General features: G+C 34.4%; 1 protein-coding gene across 13 annotated transcripts in view; it reads left to right on the top strand.

Annotated features, from left to right (window-relative positions):
• Positions 1 to 18,560, top strand: part of TFEC (transcription factor EC) — a 224,745-nt gene that overhangs the window by 20,013 nt on the left and 186,172 nt on the right. The window lies entirely within an intron of this gene.

Below are 18,560 nucleotides of genomic sequence, written 5' to 3'. Positions count from 1 at the left end.
TTCAGCTGGTTTCTTTCTATCTTCTGTTTATCCTATGCTCATTTGTGTATCTGCATACCATCATCTGGTGATTTATCTTCTGGTCTCTCCTTTTGCCTACCTTCTTTCTCTCAATTCTCCCAGTCTTTAAGGCCTATCTCAAACTCCCTCTCTTCTACAAACCTTTCTTCTCCAGGACACAAATATAATCTCCTTCTGTGGACTACCAGAGTAATTCTGGCCAGGATCCCTTAGTTTATCACAGAATTGTTTTCTGTTTCTTAAGATTTGGTTTACTTTCCTAACCTTGATCATAAACTAAATAAATGCAAGGTTCAATGATTTAAACTTTTTGTTTTACATTACCTCCATTCTTGGCACACTCAATAAATAATAACAATAAAATTCTAGTGTGATGAAAGGTGAGCTTTAATCAAAGAAAGCATGATAAAGCAGTGGCTCTTGAACGGAGAAGGTTTGTTGAAAGGCTGAGGACGGGTTGAGAAGCGGTGAGAATGGATCATTGTTCTGACACTGTGCGGGATGGAGTGCTGGGCAGTGAATGGAGGCTGTCAACTCTGGTTAGACTTGGCCATTGTTCCTGGGACGCCCGTGTTAGCTCTGAGTAAGAGATAATTCATCAGAACGCTCTTGTACTTTTTTTCTCTCTTGCTCTGGGGCAGAAACTGTTCTACTTCACAGGCTGAACTTTTTACCTCTTGCCCTGAGAGGCAGAAACATGCTGCCTGAGTGCTTCCATTTTGAGACACCTTGTAGGAATCCTTATTGAATTGCTTTAGAAGAGTAGATTCTTAGCCCTCTAGTGCAGCAATCTGCCACGGCAACCCCAGAGAGTGTTATTTTTCAGTCAGAGGTAGAAGCCTCCTGTAATATGGGCTCACTGGGCTTTTGGGGAAAAAAGACAGCATTTTGCAAGCTTAGTTCTAATTGAACATCCCCATGTTGCAATTATTATTGTATTTCAGTCTCGTAGCCTTTGTTACAGAGGTTTTTGTGTGAGTTAGGAGGGGACACGTTGGGTGACCGCTCAAGCCTTTACTTTTTTTCTTTAATTTATTAGAGTTCAAATTAAACAAGGCTCCTGCTGTTACCAAAGTTTTCTGAACTATTTTGTGTAAATGTTATTCATCCTTTGAAATCAATACAATTAAAAGTTGTGTTAAGAGTCTTCCTTTGCAAGGCTATGAACTTTTTCTCTAAGGATTTTTAACTTGTTTCAGGTCTTTGATTTCTTAAATGCATTTCAGAAAAGAAGATATACATGTTCTTTAATTGCTTCTTAAATTGGCAAAGTTATATTCTGTCTCTTAGACAAAAATCTTTAAATGATTGCATTTCTCTGTAGATTAGTAGCTTGTTAATTTTAGGGATGAAATGAACTCAGGAATAAAAATCATTTGACCGAGTTATCTCAGGCCTCACTTCAAAAAGATGCAGATTCTCCCTAACAAGGGCCTATATGAGATCAGAGCTTCTGTGTGACGTACTGGGGACATCTAGTGGACAAAAGTCAGAATGGAACATTAAACTGTATACCCAAACAGGATCCTAACTTTCAGATAATATCATGCTTATGAAAAAATCAGAAAATCAGTGCACTGTCTGTGAAGATAAAATACCATGTACATCTAACACCTGATTTTAGTGTTATCTGTTGTTTTGAATTCATTATAAATATAATGGCTTATCTTATTTGATTACACTTAGTTTATTGCAGCAGTGTCAGATTTTTAATTTAATAGATCCTGTACATGATGGAAAATATCTCATTATCAACATTGGAGAGGCAGATTTACGTAGCAGAAATGAATGTTGTGTTTGGCTAGGTATATAACCTGAGGAAAGATTGTGAATCTCTTTACTTTCACATATAAAGTGCATGGTTAAACAAATGACCGCATTTCTTCTGGTTTGGAAATCTAGAATTCTTGATTATTTTCATTTATTTTATTCATATTCATTTCATATTCATATTCAAATTTATAATTATTTATTTATTAATATTTTCATTTTCTAAACTATTTTATACTGTACAGAGGGTTTTCACAAGTATCATTTAAGTTGATTATCAATAAAAATGTCTTAGGTATTTAGTTCAAATTTTATAAATTGATAGGAAGGTAAGATGACTTGTGAACTAAAAAGCCCAAGTTTCTTGACATTTGAACCCTTCTAGTAGAATTTCACTGTTGATGCAGTGTGTGTAAATTTCTTAATGTTTGGGGGAATTCAGTTAAACTCTCAATAGAGAGTAACTACCAGTTAGCATCTACCCTAATCATCTTCACATATATCATTTCTAATCATCTTAATAACTTGTAGAATGGAATCCTTAAACCCAATTCATAGTTGGAAAGTTAAGACTCAAAGACATAAAATAGCTGCTCAAGTTTACGAGAGAGTCACTGTCAAGGCCTATACTCACATCCAAGTCTCTCTGAGTTTATTAAAACAATGCCGAAAAGCAACACTTTTGCAAGTAAGGTGACCCCAGAAAGCTGGCACTGTGTGTGTTTATTTCTTTCCCTTGAGGATTTAGAAGTCCACTGGTAAGCATTTGTAAAGTCTCAAACTAGACCTGTCAAACATAAAGACACAGAAACATAAATACAACTTAGAATTGAATATCTCAGATGCTTTTTAAAAATTATTTTAAAAGACAAAAACAACATGATGAGTCTCTTACCTTGGGGGAAAAGATCATCAAGAAAATATGTGATAATTGCTGGTCACTCTGAAGTCCATGATGATGAGGAAATGATGTTTAAGATATGATAGAGACACAACAGAACATGTGGTAAAGTTTTAGGATTAAATTAGCCAAAGACAAATTTATAGAAGAAACAACTTTAAACAGCAAATATTGATTAAATTTGGAGGAATATTATATGAAATTAACAGTTTTTACACATTCCAGTTTGCCATTGAAAATTACTTCATTGAGAAGAGATTTGGAATAGTGAAAGGGATCAATGAATTAGATATGGTGCTTTAAAAAGTCACATAATTTATTTTGATAACATTAATTGAATTAATTTTACTTTGAAAAAATCTTAAATGACACTAAAATTAAATACTGATAATATCATCATAAATGACACCTTTCTCTTATTTCATTTCTTTTCTTACAAATGTTTAGCTTTACAAATAAATTGAGAAATTATTCATATGACTTGCATTTTTATTTAGGACAGTATTCAAGAATCAACTGATTTTTCAAAATTTGAAAGTCAATGAGTTAACATTATAAATAACCTAATATTAATGTTCAATTTTCTATTGAGATTGAAAACATACTATGATTTATTAATAGTGAAATGTTTACATTATTAACTTCAAGCTGTTTAAGGGAAATCCAATGTGTTCAGTAAATACATTTTGTGAGAATAAATATTTCATGATGAAGAAAGAATCTATTTATTAGTATGTAATGGTACATTTCTCCTTAACTAGACCTGAAATCTTAGCACTATGTTCTATTTACAGCTGTACCATAGGCTTGATGAAATCTAGTATAATTTAATCAATTTTAGCAGATATGCGTATTTGAGTTTTATGTAACTTTAATTAATATACATTTTAAAACAATACTTTTGAATTATTAAATTGCTTCGAATTGTTTTCATTAATAGAGTTCATAATATTACTGCCTAAAAAGTCATATTCGTTACCAATGTCATTTTACTGTAGTCCCTCTCCTTTGTTTTTTCTGAGTAAATTAAATGCATGGCTTAAAAACCAAATTCCTATACACTGAGTACAATAATCAAGATACTTCTTGGTGATATAGAGAAACATATAGAAAGGATTGGTGTAATTGAACCAAAGAAAGTGTAGAGGTATGGAAAATAAATGAGTTATATACATACAAATAAGCTTTAAAAAGAGTCTTCTAATATTCACTGTGAGGAACTAGTCTTTGCAGAGAACCCTAAAAGCTAATTTTCTAAAGCAATTTTTTTGTATTAGTTTTTGTGATCATACACATTATAGAAAGGTAGTAACTAAATAAATATTATCTTAGTTTAATTGGATTAAAAATTAGAAATGCAAATTCTCCTCATACTATATCTATAAGCCCTCATCTCTGCTTTTATGGTAATACCCTTTTAATGGTTTAAGCCTATGAAGAAAAAACACTGAAGATTTTTAACTAGCCACTTTGCAGGGGGCAGAAAGGAGCAAAGAAGATTTAGTGGTGAAAAGAGCAAATAAATAGGTGCTCCAAGATTAAAAAGAGGGTAGAAGTGCATGCTGAGCTGTTGAAAGACCTCTCTGTGTTTAAAGAAAAATATTGTTTGGTGCTTTCACCAGTGCATGATCAAAATAAGAGGTACAAATTAGTTCATGGCTGCTGAAGCTACAAAACATCATGCAGAGCGCTGTCTTTGGGAACGTTTTAATGAGGAGAAGAGGTCATCAGAGTGTGACATTGCTTTTCAGAATTCTTCAAGAACAACACAGACTTCCTGTTCCAAATGTGGTAGAGAATAAAACAACCTTAGTAGTAATCGTACAACTTTTGAACCATGTTCCTTGGAAATGCTGTACCGTGCTCATTTTGTAGCTTTAGTTAGCTATCTCAAAGGAAACGCTTCCATATTTTCCATGTGCCCTTATTTCAAAAGTACAGTGAAACGGTGGAGCTTTAACATGGATTATATTTATAAAATAAAGTTTTATTCAGGCTTCTAAAGAGATTTTAATGTTTTCATTGCTCCAGGTGAAATGGTACACGGTGGCTCTGTTCATTAACATTTAGCATCAGTGCAAAAAAATCAAGGATTACCACATACAGCATAAAAGGAGGGATAGTATGACTTTGAAATTAAATTCACTACAATCTTAGTTTTGACGCATTTCAAAATGTGATTTTAAAATGTATAAGTTGTTAATGATATTCTAGGTCAAATATTCATAGTCCAATATCAAGTCCTACAGAGACTGGCATTATTCAAATGTGCAACGTATTTGAGCAGGAGCTGAAGAGGTTTTCCTGATGCTTTATAAATAAGACATTTATTTTAGTTTCAAAGGCCAGTATTATAACATTATTTAATACTTTAAGTATAATTGGTGCATTTATTTCCACTCTACCACAAAGCTATAGCATACCTTTTGTTTTCCATTAATATGAACATATTTGTAAGATGTGTATAATTAGAGAAAGTATTTGGGTTCATATACTTAATGCAGTTATCAAAAAAGGGCGAAGAAGACTTCTAATTTTTCGTATAGCAATGCTCACAGTCTTATTAACCTGTTTTCATGTAATTTTTTCCTTCAAAATAAATGATTCAAAACTAACCACATTTACTCTTGATATGTAAAAGTAATAAAAAGAAGTGAATAAAAAAAATTTCAGAGACCCAAAGGGAAGGGTTTGAACTAGAATTTAGGTGGAAAACAGGTCATTTCTGTGCATAGTAATGTTTCTGATTAGCTTTTAAGTAAGAGGTGATTCAATTTGTGTACAATGTGTAATTGATTTAGAAGCAGCAATATATGGTATACATTTTTCCTTCCCTCTTTCTTTTTATTCTTATTTTTTATATCTAGCATGAGAACAGAAGTCAAGCATAGACACCCTGCTTTAAATATGATAAAGGATAAAAGCTGTCATTCTAGTTTCACAGCTTTTCAACTATTTAATCTAAAAGTTTCTGAACTTACACAGATCATTTACTTGACTCAGTCTTTTATATTAATTTTATTTCTTTTAATGTATGCAGCCTTTGTTCTTAAATATTCTTATTCATAAACCAGACACATTTAAGTTGACATCCTTAGCATGTAGAATTTTTCTACAAAGACCTAGTGAGGCAGTTATTTTTAGCTTAAGCTTTTAGTCTGGATTGACTGGCCTGCTATCTCTTGGCTTGGTTTGCCAGCTTTTTCTGTCAGTGATTACACATCAGGAGCTTATGTTGATCTAATTTTTTTTTGTTGTTGCTATTGTTTTGCATTATTACTGCTCAGGACCTGTTCTTCTCTTTTACCTGCTTAACTAATTCAATAGTATTCTACTTCATAAACATCGCTCTCTAATCTTAAAGATGTCTTAGGCATCTAAAAAGCTGCTATTCATAAAGTTTTAGCGTTTACTACAGTACCATAGGTTAAGCTCTGAAAGATAACACAAGAACATGAGAAGTAAAGAGGTAAATTTTCTTTTTCTTTTAATTATTTCAAAGAAAATTCAGTCAGGAAAAAAAAGCTACATTTTTGGGAAATCAACAAGAGGGGCATGAAAAGTCTTTAATTTAAATGATTAAATTATGTTTCCCAGAAATCATTTATTGGCAAAGAATGTTTTTCCCCATCCCCCTACTTTTTTTTTTTTTTTCTGAGACAGAGTCTTGTTCTGTCACCCAGGCTGGAGTGCAGGGGCGTGATCTCAGCTCACTGCAATGTCCACTTTGTGGGGTTCCTCAGTCCCCTGTGTAGCTGGGAATACTGGCACACGCCACCACGTCTGGCTAATTTTTGTATTCTTAGTAGAGATGGGGTTTCACCCTGTTGGCCAAGCTGGTCTCGAACTCCTGGCCTCAAGTCATCTGCCTGCCTTGGCCCCCCAAAGTGCTGGGATTACAGGCATGAACCACCGTGCCTGGCCAGACTTTTCTAATTAAGGAAAGAATTATTTTCGTTTGGTACATAACACGTTTGTAGTTTTGTTGCCGAGAATCTAAACATAAGGTATTGTGAGGTAAACAAAAATTAAATCACTCTTTGTCATTATGTAACTTTTGAAAATTGACAAAAACTGAAAAGATTATAAGCAACTTAAAAATCGATGATAGCTTTTATTGCATACATTTATTTTCTTTTTAAGCACTGTAATAATTTATTTTCTAAAGTAGTCTTAAAACTGTTTTGAAGAAAAGCTTAAAAATTAATGAAACAAAGCTACAAAGTTGACAATGTATTGAAAAGAGGACAGATAAATGAGATAAAAGACAAAAAACACAATTGGTGAAATTTTATATGCATATTAATTAAAATATTCACTGTAAACATTCACAACAAAATTTAATGATGCTTTGCCATTTCAGGAAAAGATTTCTCACTTTTTTCCAGCTAACTAATATTCTATAGCTTGTTTAAAAGTTGTTTTAACGCTATAGTTCTCAAAGAATGTTCTATAGTTCCCGAGGTGTCTCCTAAAACATTTTATTGCTAAAATGTTATTTTCCATTTTCACAGTTTGAATATTTGCACTTACTGTGCAAAAGCAATGGTGAATAAATTGCATGTGCCTTTTTATGAATGAAGGCCGTGGCACCAAACCGCTAGTCAGTCATTATATTCTTCACTGCCATGCACTCACAGTTAAAGAAAACAATGCCAACTTTACTTAGGATTGCCTTTGATGAAGCTGTAAAAATTATTAACTTTATTAGACCTGATCCTTGAGCATATTCAGTTTTTCGAGAGTTATACTTAGCTGATAATATTCTAAGCTTTGATCTTTTTTGCATATTTAAAAAAATTCACTGTAGACCTGAATAGCCAACTACTTTACCTGATGCCAGACCCAAGAAGCAGAAATTTGTTCAAATCCTTAAGAAAACATTAAGAAATAGCATTTTTGAACAGTGCCATATAAACAACACTAAAGGATATGGTTTATGGTAGAGTTAGGGGATTTCCATGAGTAATTTTGATTACATACATTTCTTTGACTTATAGGCCAACTTTATGCACTAATTCCTTAAAATGATGCCGTTGGCTTCTCTGCAGTACATCTTATCACCTGCTATGCATGTTTTGCTGATCTAGGGGAAACAGCATACTTTATGATGGAAAGAAAAAAAGCCAACCATTCTGACCTCGCCATCAAATGTGCTTTACAGGCTTTTGGAGCATAAAGTGAAGCATAATGACCTAATATGATTATAGCAAGAGTAAAACTTCAAAGGAAAATTTTTAGGAGTGCAGAAAGTGGCAACAATAATTAAGCACCTGGATCTTACTATTTATTGTGCCCCTGTGGGAAAAGCTCATCTCAATTCACTTTATATTTAATGTGCGTTAATATCTCAAGGGTACTAATACTGTAAATCATTATTGCAATGGATACCTCTTAGGGCAGAGGCTAATCTAAATTTTATCATTGCTTAGCAAACTCTTTAAGGGGAGTGGAGATGATGATAGAAACAAGATGGAACAATACTTGAGGAAACAATTTTTTTTCAAGTACACTCATGTTAGCTAGAAAAAAATGTTTAAATATAGACAGTGGACAGTGCTAATTAAAACCATTACTTTATTTTCTTATTTATTTTTGAGGACTCTTTCTATGAGGCAATATTTTGTATGCAGTTAGTTCAAAATAATAAAAACATAATATGATTACACTTGCTTTTCTAATATATGTAAGGTTACTAAATTAGTAAATGAGAAATCTATTCTAGATATAAACTTTCATGATATCTTTGTGACCAAGGTAAAGATCTATGTTATGGATGATAGAATTGTTAATGAATTTTAGCTGTCTTACAGACTAGTCCTAATTAGTGGGTTCCTATTACCTCAGAAGGAAGTCTACAGTGGCTGGTCTTTGTGCCCTGTTCAAAGGCACATGGTTTCTATCCTGTCTAAAATATTTATTCATTATTTCCATGAGCATATGGATGGCATTGATGACATATTGGCTCAGTTTACAGATGATGTGAAAATGCAGTCACATCTGTTTTCCAACTAGATTGTATATTTAATAATTATTTATAAATCAACTTACTTTTAAAAATTTGCTGCACATAAGGCAATAGCATAAATCAGATCTTGGGTCTTAAACGTACCAAATATAATTAGTATTAATACACATTAATGTAGATTCTATTAAAGTAAAAGGAAAGTTCATCCATACAGTGTCACATAAATTTGTGTGTATACTACTTTATAGAAAATTTTAACTAGAAAGATTCTGCAAAGGGAATGAAGATGAAGTCTTTGAGAAATATAGTGCAAGCTGAGTGCAGTGGCTCATGCCTATAATCCCAGTACTTTGGGAGGCCAAAGTGGGCAAATCGCTTGAGCCCAGGAGTTTGAAACCAGCCTGAGCAATATGGTGAAACACTATCTCTACAAAAAATGAAAAATTAGTCTGGCATGGTGGTTTGTGCCTGTAGTCCCAGCTACATGGGAGGCTGAGGTGGGAGGATTGCTTGAGTTCAGGAGGTTGAGGCTGCAGTGAGCTGGGATTGTGCTACTGCACTCCAATCTGGACAACAAAGGGAAACTGTCCCCACCACTCTACCCCAAAAAAGAAATATTGTGCAGAATAAAGACAGCAGGACTGAAGACACATGAGTAAGCTCTAAATGAGCTAACTGGAATGATTATCTGGAAATTTGTATGTTTTTAAACTCGAGATTCTGACCACTTGTCTCTTATCGGTTTCTTCACAGGACTTTCACCAAGTTTTAACTGTGTAGTATTATTTTCTTGTAGGTTACTATATTACCATTTTCATCTCCTTCTCTCTGCATTTGAGAAAATTTCTGCCATTTGCTTACATGTTTGCTTATATATTTGTCATGCTGCCATAAAGAGCACGTTGAGGATAACAATGAAAGAGTCAGATTAGGCCTCAGCTCTCATGAAATTCATAGTCTAGCTAGTGAATGGATAAGAAAACAAACTTCTAGCACTCTGTGATAAATGCAGTGTTAGTGAGAATATAGGAAACTTTCAAGAGAAAACAACACACCCCACAATTGGTTAATCAGAGATTTCTAGTGGATGGGGCTTCAGATCTGGAAAAGTGAACAAAAATAAGTTTTTCAAGTAAGAGTGTGTGTGTGTGTGTGTGTGTGTGTGTGTGTGTGTGTGTTCTTGCATGTTTGGTGGCAGGAATATAGTGATATAGACAGGAATACAGAAAAAAATGACTGAATAATAAGCATCATAGCATGAGGGGAAGGAGAGCCACTGGAAGTTTATGGTGATAGAAAGTTTATGGTGATAGGAAGCCACCACTGAAGGGGAAAATGTACATCAGAAAAAGGCATCTGGAAGAATGATGATACCCATCTTCTCCACAATTTGGCTAAGAACTAGCCTCAGAAATTATAGAACGTAAGAATATTGGGTTTTTAGTAGGGATGAGGTTTCACCATGTTGGCCAGGTTGGTCTCAAATACCTGTAATCCCAGCTACTCAGGAGGCTGAGGCAGGAGAATTGCTTGAACCTGGGAGGCAGAGGTTGCAGTGAGCTGAGATCCCACCACTGCACTCCAACCTGAGCAACAGAGTGAGACTCAGTGTCAAAAAAAAAAAAAAAAAAAAAAAAGTAAGAATATTGGGAATACAAAGGTAGCAAGAAAAACACCATGCAAGGAGGGTTGTTTTCTAGATTTTGCTCCTTTACTATTTTCTTGGTGAGCCTTGGGGATTATTATATTATCTTTAATACACAGTGACATTTAATGCTCTCTGTATGCCGTATTTAAAAAGGTGACATCTTAACATTTTATTTTACTTTTATACTCCTTTGATCCACTACTGAGTGATATACCTGAGTCAATTGAGGGAGGAAAAAAAAAAGGACAAGGGTGAGATTGAAAAAACAAAAACTATTTCAACAAAAAGAGAACAAATGATATCTAAAGAACCACTGTCTCCTGAGTATACACAACAACCTGTCCAGATATTGGGACAAGAGAATGAAGGACTCCTGAAAAAAGAACCCTTCGACAAAATAAATTAAATAAATAAATATTGCCAAATGGGATTTCTTCCAAATCTCCAATGATAGTAGATTTCTGGTTTATTGGTCTTTACCTTAATTTCAACCTTTCTGACTGGTTTTAACTTAGATGAAGCTCCTGAAAACAGTACATGTCTGGACTTTGGTTTTTTTTTCAATGTAATAATTCGTGTCGTTTAGTTGATGATAATAATTTGTTTACTTTTACTGAAAGCACTGATATGTTTGCACTTACTTCTATTGTCTTTTTCTGTTTCTATTCTTTTAGTGTTTAGCAAATGTATCTACCTCTAGACTTTCTAAAAATCCCTATTTGTTCTATTTTTTTCTTTACCTTCAAGTACTCCAAGATTACTCATTGAATTACTCATTGAATCCATCCTCTCATTTTGCTTTTACCACCCAGAAACACACATCTCAAACTATCAGTAGTAAAAGTTTGTTTTTTCCTCAGTCAGTAACACTGAGGCAGTCAAATATCTAAAACAGTTTCACACAGTTTCTGTAAGTACTGCAGATCAATAACAAGTAATTCATGCACAGGTGCAGATCAAATGATCATACTTTGAGAAGCACTAGTCTAGAGTTTTAGTTTAGCTTTGATTTATAAAAATAAAAATTAGTTATTTTTATATAAAAATAGTTAAATTGTTATATTGACATAGTTTATCATTTTTATGCTCATAATTGTTTCATATAAACCACACCTTCCCCCGGCATCAGTTATATTCTTGTTGAATAATTCTTTTAGTTATTGTATGTGTAGAAGTTGATTTACTTTGCCCTCACCGTGGAGTGTCAGCTTAGCTAGGTATAAAATTTTAAATTGATAATTATTTTCTCATTACTACTTCATTGTCTTCTAGCCTCATTTTTGCCAATGAAAAGTCTCAATTATTCTATTTCTCATTGCTTTTAAGCTGATCATTATTTTCTCATTACTAGCTTTAAATATTTTTGTTTCATATATTATGTTTTGCTGGGAGTGGTTTAACCTGGTTAAACTTCCTGGGTATGTGGAATGTGATTTCAAATTAGTGTGCCCAAGTTTCAACTTTATTGACTATTTTGCATTTTACATGAGAGCATGTTAGTTTGTGCAATAGAAAAGTTATGTAATTTGAGTTACTGCTTTTTTAGTAGCTGATCTTTTCTCTTGTGGTTTTTGGCTGGCTTTAGTAGTATATTTAGAAAAGCCTTATAAATTCAAAGACTGTACATATATTTAGATGGATTAAAAAAAGAGTAGTTTGACAAAAACATTGAGAGGTAAATGAACCAGGAATAACATAAAAGTGGGGTGTGGGTGTGTGGGCTAGAAAAGGCAACATAGATAAGCCATAACATGCTATGAATTTGTAACATGGAGGACAAGCCATTACTTAGAAATATAAGGGAAACAGGCTCAAATTTATGTCTTCTTTCACATAAGTTGCCTTTTTATTCCCAATATTCTTATCTTTTTTTTTTTTTTTTTTGACACTGACTCTCACTCTGTTGCCCAGGCTGGAGTGCAGTGGTGGTAATAGCAAAATGAGAGGATGGATTCAATGAGTAATTCAATGAGTAATCTTGGAGTACTTGAAGGTAAAGAAAAAAATAGAACAAATAGGGATTTGTTAGAAAGTCTAGAGGTAAATACATTTGCTAAACACTAAAAGAATAGAAACAGAGAAAAGACAATGGAAGTAAGTGCAAACATATCACTGCTTTCAGTAAAAGTAAACAAATTATTCTCATCAACTAAACGACACGAATTATTACATCGGATAAAAAACCAAAGCCCAGGCTGGGCGCGGTGGCTCACGCCTGTAATCCCAGCACTTTGGGAGGCCGAGGCAAGGGGATTACGAGGTCAGGAGATCAAGACCATGGTGAAACCCCGTCTCTACTAAAAATACAAAAAATTAGCTGGGCGTGGTGGCGGGTGCCTGTAGTCCCAGCTACTCGGGAGGCTGAGGCAGGAGAATGGCGTGAACCCAGGAGGCAGAGCTTGCAGTGAACCGAGATCGCGCCACTGCACTCCAGCCTGGGTGGAGTGCAGACTCCGTCTCAAAAACAAAAAACAAAAAACAAAAACAAAAACCAAAGCCCAGACATGTACTGTTTTCAGGAGCTTCATCTAAGTCAAAACCAGTCAGAAAGGTTGAAATTAAGGTAAAGCCCAATAAACTAGAATCTACTACCATTGGAGATTTGGAAGAAATCCGTATTTGGCAATATTTATTTATTTAATTTATTTTGTCGAAGGGTTCTTTTTTCAGGAGTCCTTCATTCTCTTGTCCCAATATCTGGACAGGTTGTTTTGTGTACCCAGGGGACAGTGGTTCTTTAGGTATCATTTGTTCTCTTTTTGTTGAAATAGTTTTTATTTTTTCAATCTCACCCTGCTCCTTTTTTGTTTCCTCCCTCAATTGACTGGGGTATATCATTCAGTGGTGGATCAAAGGAGTGTAAAAGGGAAATAAAATTTTAAGATGTCACCTTTTTGAATATGTCCTTTTTTCTATCCACGCTCCTCCCTAATTACTAATTTAATAATTATATACTAAAAGTCATTTTCTCTCAGATTTTGAAAGTGTATTGCTATTGTGTTCTTTTTTCACTAAAATTTCTTGATAGTGTTCCTTTTTTCATCTCTTGGGCTGGGTGCTTGATGGCCTTTTCCATCTGGAAACTAATGAGCTTCAGTTCTAAAAATAATGTCTTTATTCTTTGTTCATCCCTTTGCCCTCTTTATTTTCTTTTTGGGACTCCTATTAGTTTACTTAATGTTATACTTCCATGATTGAACCTCTATCTTACTTTTTCCCTTCTTTTATTTCCATCAACCTCTTTTATTTCTGCATTTTAAGATAGTCCCTTACATTTATTTAGTGAGTAAAAAATTGATTTGTCCATTTTTAGTGCATCTGGATTTTTATTTCATAAAAGATATTGTTTTATTTTGAGGTTATCAATTTCAGGCTTTGTTTTTTTCTTTTATCCCCTGAACACATTTTCTCATTTTCTTCTGAGTTTTTTTCCTTATACCTTTCTTATTGGGAGATTTTTATACTGCTTGGCTTAAATTCTCCAATGTGTAAATCCCTATCATATTTGAAGAGGACCAAATGCAGGGTGGGGATGTGGGAAGCTAGCTGATCCTAGTCACATTTTCTCATGATCTGTTTTCACTACTGGGCCTCTGTGGTATCAGGGTGGCTCTCCTTGCTGTCCTGTACAAGCTCTGAGATTTCAGTTTGCTCAGTTCTTTCATACTGGCTCTTGATGGTTTGCAAATCACAACTTAGCTTTCATCTCAATTGTTTAATATTGTTAACTGTCAGCTGGATATTTTCTTCTGAAAGGCACTTCAAGCTGCAAATATGTCTTACTGAAGTTGTCCAATCCCCGGAGGCACCAACCTTACCCTCTTTTGGTCTTCGTTTCTCTAAATGGCATTAGTTTTGAGTTCATCCTTGATAGCTCTTTATATTTAATTGAATCAACCAAGTCTCAGTCAATTTTCTTTTTTCTGTGTAGGATCTTTTGGAATTGTCCCTTCCACTCTATCTCGGTCACTACCATACATTCCGCCAACATTACCTCTTTCCTAAACTAATGTATTCTCCATGCTTCCTTATTCAAGACCAATTCATGCATTGCTACCTAATTGTTCCAAAGCACAACCATGATGGTCTTAGCTGCTCAAAAATTTCGATGATTCTTAGTTTGATAGATTAAAGCCAAATTTCTTAACTTGGAATTTAATATCTTCCATACTCTAGTTCTAAGTCAGCTTTCCAACATCATTGCCTATTGTTTCATGTCACATTTTCTATACATCATACTAAAAGGAATGAACTAAGTTCTCACACCCATCCTTGCTTTATCAACTCAGTGCCTTTGTATGTGATAAGTCTGCCTCCAATGCTTTCTCTAATACCCTGCAACCCTGCATATTTAAACCACACCTGCATTTTAAGATAAATCACAGATTATACTTCTTTCATCAAGTAATTTCATCTTTATTGAGGTACCTGCTGTCCATTTCTTATTATACTCACTGTTGCTGAGGGCCAGTTGAGTAATGGATTTACTTTGTACTCACAAAACATCTTATAACATCTTTCTAATTGTGGGCCTTCAGTATTTGTTGAAGTATGAAAATTCAGGCTGTCTGCATAATATGTGGTATAGTTTCTTAAAAATTAATTACAGAATTATTATCTATTGAATACATGTGGATCTTCTCACCCTAGTAAGATACTTGAGGATATAATGCAGGCCATTTGCATTCTTTGTTTACCTCTACCATAGCTTGCACAGTGCCTTGCATACATAGTGCTCTTTTATGGTAAAACAGCAATATATACAGCATAGAAGTAATTGTCCTTCTATGATGCCTTTGAAAATGTCAGTTTGAAAAATTGGGGGAAAATTTACATAGGAGAAGCATTTTCTTTCCTCTCCTCAAGATAGAGTCAGTTGCTACCCCTTAAAATAGTCTAATTATTTTACTGGAGACCTAGTTATAAAACTACTTGCAGTTGCACTAGAAATAGAATTCTGGTGACACTTAATGAGATTTTTCAAGTTCACATTACTTATTCTGCAGACTTCTTCATTTGAGTAGATTATTTAATATTTTATTTGTTTTATTATTCACATTTTAGGGGTAAAATATTTCCATTCACATTCAAAGTTGGTTGAATTATACGCCAAAGTTTGATTGCATAGAACTTTCTCCCAGTCTTGCTATTTCCAGTGTGCAGTTGCCTAACGTATCTGTAATTCACATCCCTGGAGCAGATTTTATGCTGCTGCCCAAGAAGTAAAACTTTGTCCTACCTTAGAATGCAAGTTAACATTTCATTACCTGTTTAATAACAATTTCTTTTTTCCCCCGTTTTTCCCTCTCTTTGTCTGAGTGAGCTCCTTTCACTGTCTGCACCCAAAGTAACTATATTCCATTAAAAACTTTCGTGGTTATATTATACTATATGTTTTGGAATATGTTTAAATGTATCCTGGCATTTTGGGAGATAACTTTTCAATTTGTCACTGGCATTTTACATAATAAAGGTGGATAAAATTAATCTTTTTCCACTCATGGAATATAGTTCCAGCAATCTTTCCCCACTCTGTACTCTCCTTCTTCTTTCCTTGTCACTTACCCATAGACAACTAAAAGTCCTTTAATTGCAGGAATTCTAATCTATCCATTTCTATATCAGTCATTTATTCTTTGAGCTCTTGTGTTATGTTTAATATCATGCTAAGATTTGTGGCAGATATAGACACATTTAAACCATGGAACTTCCTTTGCAGACATAATACTTATAAAACAATTAGACAATAATTAAATCATAAACTTGGTGTTAATAACCATGAATGTAAGAACTTAGAGAAGAAGGAAGTGAACATGATAGGAGTAGTAGGGGAAAAGTTATGAAAAGGTGGAATTTGAGTTTGATAAAAGTACTCAGAAATAGATAAAAAGGGCAGTTGTGTTTGAGATTTGAGTGTGGTGAAGCATCAATAAAGAAAAGTACCCAGTGGGCAGTCATTATGTTTGCAAAAGTGGAGTGTGGGGATATGCGGGTTAGACCAGGCTTGATATAAGTGACAACAGGATCCACGTAAGCATTCAATTTTTTTTTTGTAGGGAAGTGGCATGACAAAAATGATGTTTAAACCCACTATTTCAGGCAAGACTCAGAAGGGCTTGTGGTGTATCATAAAAGATGAGGAACTCAAAAGATGACAAAGTAGCTAATTGCAAAGATTAAAGGTAACTGCAAATAGAATGCTTTCAAGACAAACTAGAATCATAAACTAAGAGAAACTGACTCAGAATGAAAGAAAAAGGAGAGGTTGGATCCAAGGGACAAAAGGAGAGGCTTCAGTGTTTCAATGTTACCTTACGTTCTTGCAACAAACCCCCAATATTTTTGAATTTCAATGCATCTTGTTCAAGTGCAGTTATCTTGCTGGGGCCACTAGGTGGTGATCTTTGTTAGTTGGTAACTTGTAGTTTTTTAAAAAAATGTGAGTTCAGCAATTGCTTGTTTTTGTTTCACACAATCCCTGATATATAACATTCATAACTATGGATATATGTTCATTAATGTTTTCCTTTCTCTGTTTTTTTCTTTTTGATTTGTACTCTCAAGTAAGATGGGGGGATTGGTTAAAAAAATGTAGATCTCAGTTCTCACGCTTGTTTGGCTACTTGGCATTTCCCAACCCTGGGCACTGCTCTAAGGGAGAATGAAGCGGGAAAGGGCATCTATTACATAGCTGACATTTATTGTAGTCATCCACTAGAATTTCCACACTAACACCAGTGTTGGCCACAATGAGGAAAGTGGGGGGAAGGGGCATAGGCAGCTGGGCTAAATAATCATTCACTTGCCATCACCTTGTTCCAGTCGTCCTTAACCTTCATTGCTTCTACTTGCCCTAGAACCTCATCTTCTGCTTCTTATATGCTGGAGTTCATATGCTAAGCCAATGGTTACTTCCTCCAAGTTGAAGAAAGCCTGCTACCTGGCAGATAAAAAGGAATATAACTTGCTAAAGGGCCTGGTACATAGCAGACACTGCCAATGCTTGTTGAATGAGTGATTCAGTGATGAATGAATGAACAAGCATCACTAATGCAGTAGAGGGAAGAGATGTCTTGGTCCCAGAATGCTGAATGCATGTTTCCATGGAAATCTTTTAAAACGTGTAGTGTGCTGTTCAGTGTTACGGGAGCAGGTGTGTATGGCTTACCTGATTTCTTAGACCCCACTTACATAGAAACCTAACCACCATGGCTAACATTGCTCCATAGGAAAATGCTTTTTGAGTTCCAAACATTGAACTTATTAATGAACTTTTGCTAACCTGTGACTTTATAACAAGTTCTTATTAAATGAAATAATAGCACAGTTCATAAAAGTCACTTCTGAAGTGCTTAATCACAGTAACATGTAATTAACAGTAAAGGCTTAAAGTGCAAACAGGGGTCTTATCTATCCAAACACTTTTTTAATGCCAAGTTTCCTGATGATCTTTAATAAACCCTTGCAATTGTAACAACAATTACAATTTCAGTGGCTTCAGTAAGTCTGAAGACTCCTCCATAATTTATTTCCAACATTTCCCTGTAGAGAAGAAATTCTGGGCACCTAGCTACAGCTATACATTTGTTACCTGTTCGGAAAATTAGGTTGTCAATTCACTCTTTAGTAGAAGAAAGGAAGGTTATTTCCTTTCCTCCCAATAGCTACATTTTAATGAATTTTTTATTTTACTGATTTATTCTTGAGTGCTTTTTCCTTTCCATTTGACCTTTTGGACCAATCAGGGCTTTTAGCCAAGGATCAAAGGAATTTGAGTCCTGGCTTAGGCAAATCCCAGACTCATTTCTTTTACCTTATTTCCCTGTCTTATCTCTATCTGAAAAAGATAATCGTCACATAATATTAATCATTTGGCACCCTGACCTCTGAAATAGTGAGTCTGTAAAACAAAATTTCTGGATAGCAAGTCAATATATTTTAATGCCACTATGTCTTAAAATAGTAATTTGCTTCTATATATTTATTTTTTGTTGAAGTGAAATTCACATAACCTAAAACTCACCATCTTAACTATTTTAAAGTGTACAATTTAAGGACTTCCAGTACATTCACAATGATGTCAACCATCATCACTATCTAATTGCAGAATATTTTCGTCACCCCAGAGAGAAACTCCGTGTCCATTAGCAGGTACTCCCCATTTCTCCCTCCTTCCAGCTTCTGACAACCACTAATTGGCTTTTTGTTTCTATGAATTTGCCTATTCTGGACATTTCATGTATGTGGCTTTT

This window comes from Homo sapiens, chromosome 7, assembly GCF_000001405.40.
Source record: "Homo sapiens chromosome 7, GRCh38.p14 Primary Assembly".
NCBI classification, from domain to species: domain Eukaryota; kingdom Metazoa; phylum Chordata; class Mammalia; order Primates; family Hominidae; genus Homo; species Homo sapiens.
Note: the sequence above shows the minus strand (reverse complement) of the source record. Positions and strands in the feature narration are given on the sequence as shown.